The sequence below is a fragment of the Homo sapiens genome, chromosome 17 (assembly GCF_000001405.40).
Source record: "Homo sapiens chromosome 17, GRCh38.p14 Primary Assembly".
NCBI lineage: Eukaryota > Metazoa > Chordata > Mammalia > Primates > Hominidae > Homo > Homo sapiens.
Window position 1 is genome coordinate 8,376,935 of NC_000017.11, and position 12,335 is coordinate 8,389,269.

General features: G+C 47.7%; 1 protein-coding gene across 3 annotated transcripts, besides 4 other annotated features; it reads right to left on the reverse strand.

Moving 5' to 3' along the window:
• Positions 582 to 6,259, reverse strand: RPL26 (ribosomal protein L26). 3 transcript variants are annotated; one of them, NM_000987.5, is made up of 4 exons: positions 6,223 to 6,259; positions 5,209 to 5,381; positions 2,862 to 3,002; positions 582 to 758 (listed from the first exon to the last, which is right to left on the reverse strand). In NM_000987.5, the coding sequence occupies exons 2-4, from the start codon at positions 5,374 to 5,376 to the stop codon at positions 630 to 632; spliced, it is 438 nt and encodes a 145-aa protein (NP_000978.1). In that variant the 5' UTR covers positions 5,377 to 5,381; positions 6,223 to 6,259; the 3' UTR covers positions 582 to 629. The 3 variants fall into 3 exon arrangements, with proteins under 3 accessions (NP_000978.1, NP_001302460.1, NP_001302459.1); NM_001315531.2 differs by having other exon boundaries at positions 5,928 to 6,259; NM_001315530.2 differs by having other exon boundaries at positions 5,847 to 6,259.
• Positions 5,717 to 6,434: an enhancer, noted in NCBI's record as "H3K27ac hESC enhancer chr17:8285969-8286686 (GRCh37/hg19 assembly coordinates)". NCBI's record gives its function as "activates a minimal SCP1, AML or CMV promoter by ChIP-STARR-seq in primed H9 embryonic stem cells {active_cell/tissue: H9 hESC(primed)}" and the evidence as "EXISTENCE:reporter gene assay evidence [ECO:0000049][PMID:30033119]".
• Positions 6,014 to 6,183: an enhancer, noted in NCBI's record as "active region_11698". NCBI's record gives its function as "activates an Ori minimal core promoter by ATAC-STARR-seq in GM12878 lymphoblastoid cells {active_cell/tissue: GM12878}" and the evidence as "EXISTENCE:reporter gene assay evidence [ECO:0000049][PMID:35858748]".
• Positions 6,435 to 7,152: an enhancer, noted in NCBI's record as "H3K27ac-H3K4me1 hESC enhancer chr17:8286687-8287404 (GRCh37/hg19 assembly coordinates)". NCBI's record gives its function as "activates a minimal SCP1, AML or CMV promoter by ChIP-STARR-seq in primed H9 embryonic stem cells {active_cell/tissue: H9 hESC(primed)}" and the evidence as "EXISTENCE:reporter gene assay evidence [ECO:0000049][PMID:30033119]".
• Positions 6,584 to 6,853: a silencer, noted in NCBI's record as "silent region_8181". NCBI's record gives its function as "represses an Ori minimal core promoter by ATAC-STARR-seq in GM12878 lymphoblastoid cells {active_cell/tissue: GM12878}" and the evidence as "EXISTENCE:reporter gene assay evidence [ECO:0000049][PMID:35858748]".

Genomic DNA, 12,335 nt, shown 5'->3' on the forward strand with positions numbered 1-12,335 from the left:
ACGGCAGGAGCACACACACTGCTGCCACCTCACACCTTTTCACTTCATCCTGACGAAGCTGCAGTTTAGTTTATATTTTAACTCAAAGACGTGTTAGGTTTTGGTTTGATGGCACTCATCCAGCACTTGTGCAGAAAACAAGGTAAAGGGGGCCCATGGGTCTATCAGATAACCTGAACCCGAGACCTCTCAATCTGGAGGAACAGCTTGAAGAAGTCATCTAGAAGCTATAAAGTCACAGAAGCTTCTTATCCTATTGAAAGCAAGACTTCCTATCCAATGGCAATACAAACTTTTACGCAGTAAGGTAAAAAATATAGCCTGTCCATATAGCAACCTATCCATAGTAAGCAAGTTAAAAGACAGGTTCAAGAGGAAGTGTTTCCAACTAGCTTTTCTTGTAGGCCTTCTTCTTCTCAATGACACCCCTCCAGCTTCTGATATATCCTCAAATGCTGCTGCCCACTATAAAAAAAATCTCATCAGTCCTGATTTCAGAAAAATTTTAGACCAACAAATCAGAGGTAAGAGACTGATCCACTGAAAACTAGGGAGTGTCCTAAATCACCACACACAAAACACAGGCTCTTTGTTTCAAGTTTTAATCAAAGCTTGTATATAAGATTACTTTATTCCTGCATCTTCTCAATGGTTTCTTCCTTGTATTTGCCCTTTTCCTTTCCTACTTGGCGAGATTTGGCTTTCCGTTCGAGGATCTTTTTGCGGTCTTTGTCCAGTTTTAGCCTAGTGATAACCACCTGCAGAAAAATAAGAAAAAAACACTCCCAAGCTTTAAATAATCACTAAAACACAAGGGAAAGCCCAACATTCAATACCATTTCCCAAACCTGGGGTAGGTGGATGCCTAATAAGAAAAGATTTTAACTTTTAAAAAACTCCAGAAATCACTCTTTAGCCATCAAACCTGGCTTATTTACTAATTTCCTACCAACAAAGGAGAAAAGGCAAGATGGTATCAGTAATTCTTAAAGCCTCTTCTGTGCTTCATTATAAGATTTGTTTCTTTTTCACTGAGAAATATATGATTCTGCTCTTCTCACTACAGTTTTACAAGCTGTCATATACAAATATATTTGTTTCCAAAGTAACTTCAGGCTGGGTGCGGTGGTTCATGCCCCCAATCCCAGCACTTTGGGAGGCAGAGGCAGGCGGATCACCTGAGGTCAGGAGTTTGAGACCAGTCTGGCCAACACGGTGAAACCCCTTCTCTACTAAAAATACAAAAATTAGCTGGGTATGGTGGCACATGCCTGTAATCCCAGCTACCTGGGAGGCTGAGGCAGGAGAATCTCTGGAACCCTGGGGGGGCGGAGGCTGCAGTGAGCTGAGATGGTGCTATTATTGCACTCCAGCCTGGGCGATCAATCGAGACTCCATCTCAAAAAACAAACAAGTAACAAAACAGCAGGGTGTGGTGAATGCCTACTCAGGAGGCTACTGCGGGAGAATCGCTTGAACCCAGGAAGCAGAGGTTGCAGTGAGCTGAGATCGCACCATTGCACTTCCAGGCTGGGCGACAAGAGCAAAACTCTGTCCAAAACAAAAAAAACCCCACCCCCAAACAGAAAAATAATAAAGTAACTTCAGAATTTTAATGCTAGAAATTAAAGGTAGCATCCACACATAATTCCACCTGCAAAATCTTTAGTGAGAAGATGACAATACGATCTTACTCCAACAGTTCCAATCCTAAAAGACATCCAAATTATGATAAATTTTAGTCTTATGAATGCGAGGAAAGGGTGAAAAGAGGTGCTGGAAATACAGCATGCAGACCAAACAAAAATCTCCACAGTCACTGAACTCATATTCTAGTATAGGGAGCCCGAAAACATTTACAAGTGAATCTACATCACTTTGATAGAGTAAGAAGGCAAGTGTGAGGAGGCCGAGGGGCTTTCTAGAGTGATCAAGCAAAGCCCTACATTTGAACAGAGACCTAAAGTGGTGAGCAATCTATCTATGCACAGGTATCTGGAAGAGAACAGCAAGTTGAAAGGTTCAAAGGCAGGAGATTATCAAGTTTCATAGATGTGTTTCTCAAACTTGAGTAAGAATCAACTGGAGGGCTTATTAAAACATACACCTGGGTCATAAGCCCTAATTTTGCCTCAGTAGGCCTGGGCTCTTAGAATTTATAATTCTACCAAGTTGCTAGGAGGCGAGCAGACTAGAACATATAGAATGGAAAAAGATGTCAGAAGTAAGGGAAGATCAGTTAAGGTCTTTATTTTTTTTCTTTTTTTTTTTTTGAGATGGCGTTTTCACTCGTTGCCTAGGCTGAAGTGCAATGGTGCGATCTCGGCTCACTGCAACCTCCGCCCAATATACATAATGGGACAGGCATGGTGGCTCATGCCTGTAATCCCAGCACTTTAGGAGGCTGAGGCAGGCAAATCACCTGAGGTCAGGAGTTCAAGACCAGCCTGGCCAACATGGTGAAACTTTGTACTAAGAAGTACAAAAATTAGCCGGGTGTAGTGGTGCACGCATGTAGTCACAGCTACACTCAGGAGGCTGAGGCGGGAGAATCGCTTGCACTTGGGAGGTGGAGGCTGCAGTGAGCCGAGATTGTGCCACTGCACTCCGGCCTGGGTGAAAGAGCAAGACTGTCTCAAAAACAAACTAACAGAAACATAATGACCGTTAACACTTTGATGTCAGAAACATTTTAAATGGTATTAGAATTTTCAATACAAGTGCAGTAGTATTTACTTTAAAATGTTTTTTTCCAGCACATGTAAAATCAAGGACTATTTCTATGGCCTTGCTCTGTAAACAATCATGTCAACAATAATTGCCATAATTTCCTTCTCTCAAGCATTCTCAAAAACACCTACCTTGCTGGGGTGAATGCCTACGTGGACAGTTGTGCCATTAGCCTTTTCCCGCTGCACCCGTTCAATGTAGATAACATATTTCTTCCTGTAAACCTGGACTACTTTGCCAATTTGCTGACCTTTATAGTGTCCACGTACAACCTAAGAGCAAATTCAAAAGTAACAAATATTTGAATAAAAGATTAACCTTGTAAATCAAGTAAACAAACTCATGCATACACCATTCACCCTATCATTATATTAAAAGGTTAAAAAAAAGAGCCCACTTCGGCAACCTGTAAGAAGTTGACAACAAGGAATCTGTTACTCCATCTCAAAAGCAGCAACAGACCAAGAGTATTTAAATCTGAACCCATTAATGTGTGCAACCTAGTGCTAGTCAGAGGGCAGCAACAAATGCTTAACGGAACAAACCAATTCTTTCCCAAAGGTTAGTGGACAGGAATCCCAGTGGTCCTCAGTTTGTGAGGACAAGTATTTCTGAACAGATTCTTCTTCCCAGTTTGTGACTTTCTTGCATTGGTATGTATTGAAAACAGAGATGACAGTTTTCAAGGTCTACTGGCAAGTTTAGCACTACTGCAGCAGGGACCAACGGCTGTTCTCAACCCACACTGCTTGTTTGGGAACCCATTTCATCTTTTTGAAATAGGCATGAAAAAATATTGATGGTGTGTATGTAAATGGCTTTAGAGACTGCCTGAATTCTTTAATCACTAGCTGCACTACAGATTACACCTAAGGGTCATTTATAGAAACCTTCACCTAAATAGATGCAACAAATTATTTACCTGTAAGTGCAAACGATAACGTGACTGTGCTTCAGTTACAGCTCCTGAATCTAGATTGGGAGCAATTCTGTTTACTGGTCCTCAACTGCCTCTTCAATGACCAAACATTGAAACCTCCTTTCCAAAAATTGCCAACAGTGAGAAAATTACAGCAGTTAAAGAGAACTGACCTAACTCCCATCTTGCTTCTAACCTCCAAGATGTCCTTGTTCATTCCTGGGCATAGACCAAACTAACTTTGGGAGGAACTTAGTCTACAGGTTAACTTTGAAACAAAGATGCTAACAGTGCTTTCCTGAAACAAACCCCCTTCTTGCCTGGGTACCAGACTGCCTTTGTAGGCTAACAAATTAGCTGCAAGACTAGAAATTACAGTTTAGGCAGCTAGAGGCTTCCCCAATTGCTCCTAGGGATAACACACTGTAAAGCCTAAGATTTGTGTGATTTTTTTTTTTCAGACCCTGCACTGATGGATCCGCTGGTGCCACCCAGATCAATAAACTGGCTCATCTGATCTTGTGGCCCCCATCCAGGAACCAACTCAGAGCAAGAAGACAGCTTCAACTCCCTATGCCTTCATCTCTGATACGACCTGTCAACACGCCCCACTCCCTGGCCCCCTACCTGCCAAATTATCCTTAAAAAAACTCCCATCCCTAAATTTTCCGGGAGAATGATTTGAGTAGTTAACTCTGGTCTCTCGTTCTGGCTCTGCATGAATTAAACTCTTTCTCTATTGCAATTCCTGTCTAGATAAATCGGCTCTATCTGGACAGCAGGCAAAATGAGCCTGTTGGGTAGTCACAATATATTGATAAAAGGATTAATCCCAAAGCAATGTTCTGATTATGTCACCTAATTATGGTCACATCATCTGACGTTTGAGGAAACTGATTTTCGGGCAGGATCCCCAGGAGTTGGAGACCAATCTGGGCAGTAAAGTGAGACCCCTCTCTACAGAAACAAAAAAAAGGTCCTACATGGGAGCATCACTTGAGCCCACAAGAGCCATGACCACGCAACTGCACTCCAGTCTGGGTAAGAGTGAGACCCCATCTCAGCCGGGCGCGGTGGCTCACGCCTGTAATCCCAGCACTTTGGGAGGCTGAGGCGGGCTGATCACCTGACGCCATGAGTTCGAGACCACCCTGCCCAACATGGTGAAACCCCGCCTCTACTAAAAACACAAAAATTAGCCGAGCCGTGGTGGCGGGCGCTTGTAATCCCAGCTACTCGGGAGGCTGAGGCAGGAGAATCGCCTGAACCCGGGAGGCGAAGGTTGCAGTGAGCTGAGATGGCACCACTGCACTCCAGCCTGGGGGGGACAAGAGCGAGACTTCATCTCAAAAAAAAAAAAAAAAAAGATTTTCACCAAATAATACAATTAAAAACTGAAAAGCAGCTTACTTACTGTTTTTTGGTCCCTGGCTCAACTCATCTTGCCACTCTTTGGGAGCAAGAGTCTCAGAAGCATCTTTCTCAGGAATGCAATCTCTCTTCTAAGCTAAGTGCGTAAAATATCCATCAAGACAACGAGAACAAGTAGGGATACACACCTGAACTTCATCATCCTTTCGGATGGGCATGGATCGCACGTTGTACTTCTGTCTCAGCTCTTTGGAAAGAGGGGAAGACATAATCTTCCTTCGAATGTGGGAAGGTGCATTGAAATGCCTTTTGCGATTCTTGCTTCGGTCGGAAGTCACAAAGGGATTAAACTTCATTTTGGCTAAATAAAAAGTTAAAAAGACTCTTAAATGACCAAAATCTCATCCAGCTTCCAAACAAATAACCGCAATGATTTTATCTTGATAGTCTAGAATGATCATAGGCAGTGTCATGTTGTGCAACTTCAACAAAAACTGTTTGATCGGAAGGGCCTATCAACCGAAGCTCGAAACTTTTTATTTTTTGTTTTATTCGGGTGTTTTCTGTATATGTTTACGGACTAAAGACTTTTGCATCAAAAACACTTGTCCTAGTTATAAGACCTTTTAGTTACACTCTCCCAACTCCTCAAGTAGTGCCTGAGGAAATCAAGACTGGACTTACATCTCTGCTGAGCAGACCGACAACGCAATTCTCTTAACTATAACCTCACGTTTTAGAAGGTACAATCAACGTTCATCTTCTACAGGCTTAAGAGTGAATACGTATAGCCCCGCCAAAATGAATAAGGCCCACCAACCCGAACCTGGAAAAGCCTGCACACGTCTCGGGTCCTAAAAGCCTCCCAGTGGGCAAGTGTGGTCTGGAAATTCCGTGAAGACTTTACCGAGAAGTTACTTCGAGACCATTCTCTAGGAAACGACACTACCCAGACTCCAGTCTATTTCCACAGGCTCCCTTCCCTCAGCTCGTTTTCGAGTTCCCAAATCCCCGGTCCCTCCATCCATCTCCGGCCCGGCGGCCCTTGATTTAAGAAAGCAACAGATAAAAAACCATCCCAGTCTCTCCTTCCTGGCTGCTACTCGGCCGACAAGAGACTCTCGGGGTCCCCGCGGTCGGAAGCCACCATGCCCAAGAACGGATGGCTGCTGATTACACCCGCTTGCCCGCCGAATCCTTACCCGCTCCCGCTTCGGTGATGGCCGCAAAAGGGAAGAGAACTACACGCTGCTTCCGGTTCTGTAAGTTTACCAAAGATCTCGCGAGACCTATGTCTCTCGGAGCGAGAGGGGCGCGGAGTTTGAGCGAGGGGAGTAAACTGGGAAATAAATTTATGGCTAGTGTCACCTAGTGGCTAGGAGGGGAACTGCGAGGGATTGCAAAACTCCCCTCCTCCAGGTCCTAGTGTCTCCCTTCCGAGACCCGGGTGCTGCCGCTGAATCCTCTGGGAAGGGTAGTCCCGGGGCTATTGGCTAAGGCTGCTCAGGGTCCAACTGCCCCTGGGGGTGATGAAGGAACGAGCGGCCCCAGGAGACCGCCCAGGAGACCCGCTGGTACCTTCACTCCCAGGTGCCGGGGCGGGGGCCGGCACCCCTTAGCCGGGGAAGCGCAGGCCCTGCTTCTGGCCGCCAGGAGGCGCGGGGACGCCGGCCGGCCGGTCGCCTGGGTCCCTGCACTCACCGTCCCCTCCCGCCCGTGGCGTGGGCGCGGCCAGCGTGCCGGTACTTTAACGAGCTCCACCGCGACGCCGGCCACCGCCCCTGCACCTGGGCGTCTGCTGACCGCACAGCAGGGCCCGCCAGAGATTCAGTTCTGGGTGGTGAGGGGCCTTGCGAGGACCAGGGCCACCGATCGCCGCCTGCCCCCGCGGAAATAGGTCCAAGGCCGCGTTTCCAAGGCGCCCCCAGTGCTGTGGGAGGTGCTGGTCCAGACCACGCTTCGAAGGAGCCAGGCGAGAGGAAGCCTCTCGGTGCGGGGAGCTGCGCGGGTTTCTAAATGCTCGGCCTGTTTGCGTCCAGTTCAGGACCAGACGGAAGCCGTGCGCTCCCTGCAAATGGTTTCTTTTCTTCTTCTTCGTGTGTGTGTGTGTGTGTGTGTGTGTGTGTGTGTGTGTGTGTGTGTGTGTGTGTGTGTGTGTGTGTCTTTTTCTTCTTTTTGAGACAGTTTCGCTCTTGTTGCTCAGGCTGGAGCGCACTGGCACGATCTCCACTCACTGCAACCTCCGCCTCCCGGGTTCTCCTGCCTCAGCCTCCTGAGTAGCTGGGATTACAGGCGCCCGCCACCACGCCCGGCTAATTTTTGTAGTTTTAGTAGAGACGAGGGTTCACCATGTTGGCCAGGCTGGTCTCGAACTCCCGACCTCAGGCAATCCGCCCGCCTCAGCCTCCCAAAGTGCTGGGATTACAGGCGTGAGCCACCGCGCCCGGCCCCTGCAAATGGTTTCTGAGGCAGCGGCAGTGCAGCAGGCACCGGCGCTGAACGGCTTCTGCTGAATGAATGACACGGGTGTCACAGTGACAGAGGACAGGCGTTTCACAAGAATACCGAAGACGTAGTGAGCCTTCTGAGTGTGGGGACGCTCTTCTCTACACTTTACATCATGAATTCTTTTAATCCACAAAATGGCTCTGTTGTTGCTGGTATTATTGTCCCCATTTTACAGATTGGGCAACTCAGCCACAGAGAAATGAGAGGAACTTGGTGCAAGGTTATACAGGACCCATAAGTCACAGCAGAACCCGTGCAGGCTGGCTCCCCGGCCTCTTCTGGGAACTGTATATGGCCCCAATTTGTGGGAACCTCATAGTCAGGACTGCCCAGAGGATGGTCAGCAACGAACATGCGTTTTCATGATTTAAAAATAGTTGTGTTCTTAAATATGCTGTGAAGGAAGTAGCCCTAGATTTTATTCATCACTGAAAAATTCAGCAAGAATTCCTCTGCTGCGACTCTTTTCAACAAATATTTATGAGGCTTCTTTCCTGGGCCAGCCCTGAAACTAGACACTGGCGATGCAAAATAGGTCAAAGTTTGTGCCTTCAGGAAGTTTACTGTCTACAAGAAAAGATAGACAAGGGAATCAACAGCCACGAGACCACAGGAAAAGTGCTCGCTGAGCCAGCTGCCCTTGCTGTCTCTGTGATTCAGGAGCAGAAGGGAGCTCTGGGGTCAGGGAAGACTTCTGAGGTGAGGTCAGCATTGACTGGAATTGGAAGAATGTTAGCATTCGCTCCACAAGGCAGTAGGAATTGCTTGAAGGAAGGCTTGGAGGTGTGAAGCAGCGTGACTCGTGTTTTCCAGGAACCAGGTCCTTGCCGCTGAAGAGAGGCATTTAGACGGGAGCCCAGGGGCTCTAGGGCTGAGCTGAGTGTGATTTGGGTCTGGAAGTCCTAGGGAGCTGCCGAAGGTGCCTGCCTTCCTTCCTTGCCTTGCCTTTCTGGCCTTCACGTTGTCACTCCTTCTCTTTCTTCCTACTGTCCTTACTAGTTTCCCAACTCCCTTCCTGTTCGGGTGTCCCCATCGTCTTCCTGTCTTCCCACCAAGGCCCTCTCTGTTTCCTCAGCCCTCACATCCTCTGCTGACACCCTACCCTCCCAGGCCTTCCTTTCTTTCTCCCTCTGTTCAATACCGAGTCTCAAAATGAAACCTTCAGGCCGGGCATGGTGGCTCACGCCTGTAATCCTAGCACTTTGGGAGGCCGAGGCAGGCAGACTTGAGGTCAGAAGTTAAGGCCAGAAGTTTAAGACCAGCCTGGCCAGCATGGCGAAACCCCATCTCTACTAAAAAAAAAAAAAATTAGCCGGGCGTGGCGGTGTGCACCTGTAATCCCAGCTACTCGGGAGGCTGAGGCAGGAGAATCGCATGAACTTGGGAGGCGGAGCTTGCAGTGAGTGGAGATCATGCCACTGCACTTCAGCCTGGGAGACAGAGCAAGACTCTGTCTCAAAAAAAAAAAAAATTAAACCTTCAGCCCACCATCCATACAGCATGACACTTGATACAATGTGAAAATTTGCAGGGTACAAATTGTCCATACAGATGCAAATGGCCAGTAGCCTAGTTAGAACGTCCCTATCTGTTTTTTTTTGTTTTTTGTTTTTTTTTTGAGGCGGAGTCTCGCTCTGTCACCCAGGCTGGAGTACAGTGGCGCAATATCTGCTCACTGCAACCTCTGCCTCCTGGGTTCAAGCAATTCTCCTGCCTCAGCCTTCTGAGTAGCTGAGATTACAGGCATGAGCCACTACTCCCGGCTGGCTAATTTTTTTATTTTTGGTAGAGATGGGGTTTCACCACATTGGCCAGGATGGTCTCGAACTCCAGACCTCAAGTGATCTGCCTGCCTCGGCCTCCCAAAGTGCCGGGATTACAGGCGTGAGCTACCACGCCTGGCCGTCCCTTTCTCTCTTTTTTTTTTTTTTGAGACGGAGTCTGGCTCTGTCACCCAGGCTGGAGTGCAGTGGCGCTATCTCGGCTCACTGCAAGCTCTGCCTCCCGGGTTCACGCCATTCTCCTGCCTCAGCCTCCCGAGTAGCTGGGACCACAGGCTCCCGCCACCATGCCCGGCTAATTTCTTTTTGTATTTTTAGTAGAGACGGGGTTTCACCGTGTTAGCCAGGATGGTCTCGATCTCCTGACCTCGTGATCCGCCCGCCTTGGCGTCCCAAAGTGCTGGGATTACAGGCGTGAGCCACCGTGCCCGGCCCCCTTTCTCTTAACGTGTCTGTTGGGTGTCTTGCCTTCACCCTGCAGCCTAGTCTGACTGCACTCTCTCTCCCTCGCTGCCCACATTCCTCTTCCTGGATTTGAAAAAGGTCCCTTTAGGATCATTTTGAAGCCTTCAGACATAGCAAAGCAGGGATTATAGCTAGATTCCACACCCAGAGTTGATTAGACTTAACTTTTTTCTAAACACCAAGCTGTCAGGTTTATTCATTCATTCACTCATTCTCCAAATATTTCTCCAGCTCTTACTGTTTACTAAATTCTGTGTCAGGCACTGGAGATACCAAGATCTATAAGATCTAGCCTCCCCGGAAGGAGCACTTCGTTAAGGAGGAGACAGATGTGACCAGATAAGCATAATCAAGTGTCACCGATGGATGCTTTGTGGGGGATGGGGGGGCGGCGTAGGAGCTGGCAGTTCCCTTGAGCAAGGAAGTGGGCACGTCTTCAGAGGTAACCCTGGAACTATACTGTTTCTGAAAAGCTAGGTAGGAGTTTTCCAGGTAGATGGGGTGGAGTGGGGGTTGGGGTGGGGGGGTGTGTTTCAGGCGGAGTGAGGCTCATAAGCAAAGGCCCAGGCCTGCACCCCACTGCATATTGGGAACTGCAAGTGGTTTGTGCTGAGAATGAGCTGTGGAGTTAATTTATCCCGGTAGGAGGAGGAGTTGTAAGGGTGAGGCAAAGTTGTTTATTGTGTGTCCCTGAAAAAGGACTTTTTTTTTTTTGAGATGGAGTCTCACTCTGTTGCCCAGGTTGAAGTGTAGTGGCACAATCTTGGCTCATTGTAACCTCCACCTCCCGGGTTCAAGCGATCCTCCTGCCTCTGTCTCCTGAGTAGCTGGGATTACAGGTGCACGCCATCATGCCTGGCTAATTTTTGTATTTTTAGTAGAGACAGGGTTTCACCATGTTGGCCAGGCTAGTCTCGAACTCCTGACCTCGTGATCCGCTTGCCTCGGCCTCCCAAAGTGCTGGGATTACAGGCATGAGCCACTGCACCTGGACCCAAAAAGGACATTTATACTGACAAGGAGGTCAAAAGGAGATAGCAGCTGAGTGGTCTTGTGAGTCACACAGGGTTCAGTGAGGGGAGAGGTTATGGAACTGTTTCTGAGGGGCACAGAGGTCTCTAATATGCCTGTCCAGGATCCTGGCAACCCTCGTCAGGGCCCTGCTGGCAATGCTATGGATCCTTAAGCTTGACTGGTAGGCTCAGACTGTGTAAGTGTGTATTACTGTTAAAGGTTATTATGATGGGAAGTGGCTGTGTGTGTGTGTGTGTGTGTGTGTGTGTTGCAGGGGTTGGGGTGCCTCTGGACAAGGGGAGGAAGAGAAAAGCAACTAAGTTTAACCCTAGGCATCCATCCCTCTATCTATCTATCTATCTATCTATCTATCTATCTATCTATCTACTATCTATGTATCTATCTATCTATCTATGTATCTATCTATCTGTCTATCTGTCTATCTCTGTCTGTGTAATGGTATTGTCCTGTAGTGCCCTCACTGCATGATGGTTGCTTAAAACAAAAGATTTTATTTGAAAACAAAGAGGAAAAGAAGAGAAGGGGGAATCAAAATAAGCACATTCAATGACGGGGCCCAGAGAAATGCTCAGGAACTCAGGAACACTGAGAACATTAAATTTTTAAACCTTACTCCTTGGGCGCCTGTTAGCATAAGATGTCACACCTCCAACCAGACAAACCAGCCCCACTAAACCAGTAGTTGACACTCTCGAACCACAGGACAGGTGGTTTGGCAGCTCTTGACTGTTCTTGGGGCAATCTTACTTGGCAACAGGCGTGTACACTGAAGATATCTTTAGCTTCTAATAATTTTTCAATTCAGTTTTTGAATGTTAAATTTACTTGGTTCAAACATCAAAAGGGATAAATTTAAGGTAAAGTGAGGCCGGGCGCAGTGGCTCACGCCTGTAATCCCAGCACTTTGGGAGGTCAAGGTGGGTGGATCAAAAGGTCAGGAGATCAAGACCATCCTGGCTAACACGGTGAGATCCTGTCTCTACTAAAAATACAAAAAAATTAGCTGGGCCTGGTGGCGGGTGCCTGTAGTCCCGGCCACTCGGCAGGCTGAGGCAGGAGAATGGCGTGAACCCTGAAGGCGGAGTTTGCAGTGAGCCGAGATAGCGCCACTGCACTCCAGCCTGGGCGACAGAGCAAGACTCCGTCTCAAAAAAAAAAAAAGGTAAAGTGAAAACTCCCCTTCCCATTCCATCATTTTCTCATTCCTTTCCATGGCTAGTCAGAATTATTAGTGTTTTGTACATCTTCCCAACTTCCTTCCTTCCTTCCTTCCTTCCTTCCTTCCTTCCTTCCTTCCTTCCTTCCTTCCTCCCTCCCTCCCTCCCTCCCTCCCTTCTGCCCTTCTTGTCTTTCTTTTCTTTCTGTCATCAAGGTCTTACTCTGTTGCTCAGGCTGGAGTACACTGGTGCAATCATAGCTCACTGCAGCCTCCTGGGCTCAAGGGACCCTCCCACCTCAACCCCCTGAGTAGCTGGGGCTACAGAGGTGCGCCACCACAAGGTAATTACAATTTTTTTTAAAAAATA

Excerpts from the sequence above, each read along its gene's own strand:
- RPL26 (NM_000987.5), bottom strand. The coding sequence starts at position 5,376 with ATGAAGTTTAATCCCTTTGTGACTTCCGACCGAAGCAAGAATCGCAAA. Across the intron at positions 3,003-5,208 it reads GAAAGGATGATGAAGTTCAG|GTTGTACGTGGACACTATAA; the intron begins GTGTGTATCCCT and ends ATTTGCTCTTAG. Across the intron at positions 759-2,861 it reads TAGGCATTCACCCCAGCAAG|GTGGTTATCACTAGGCTAAA; the intron begins GTAGGTGTTTTT and ends ATTTTTCTGCAG.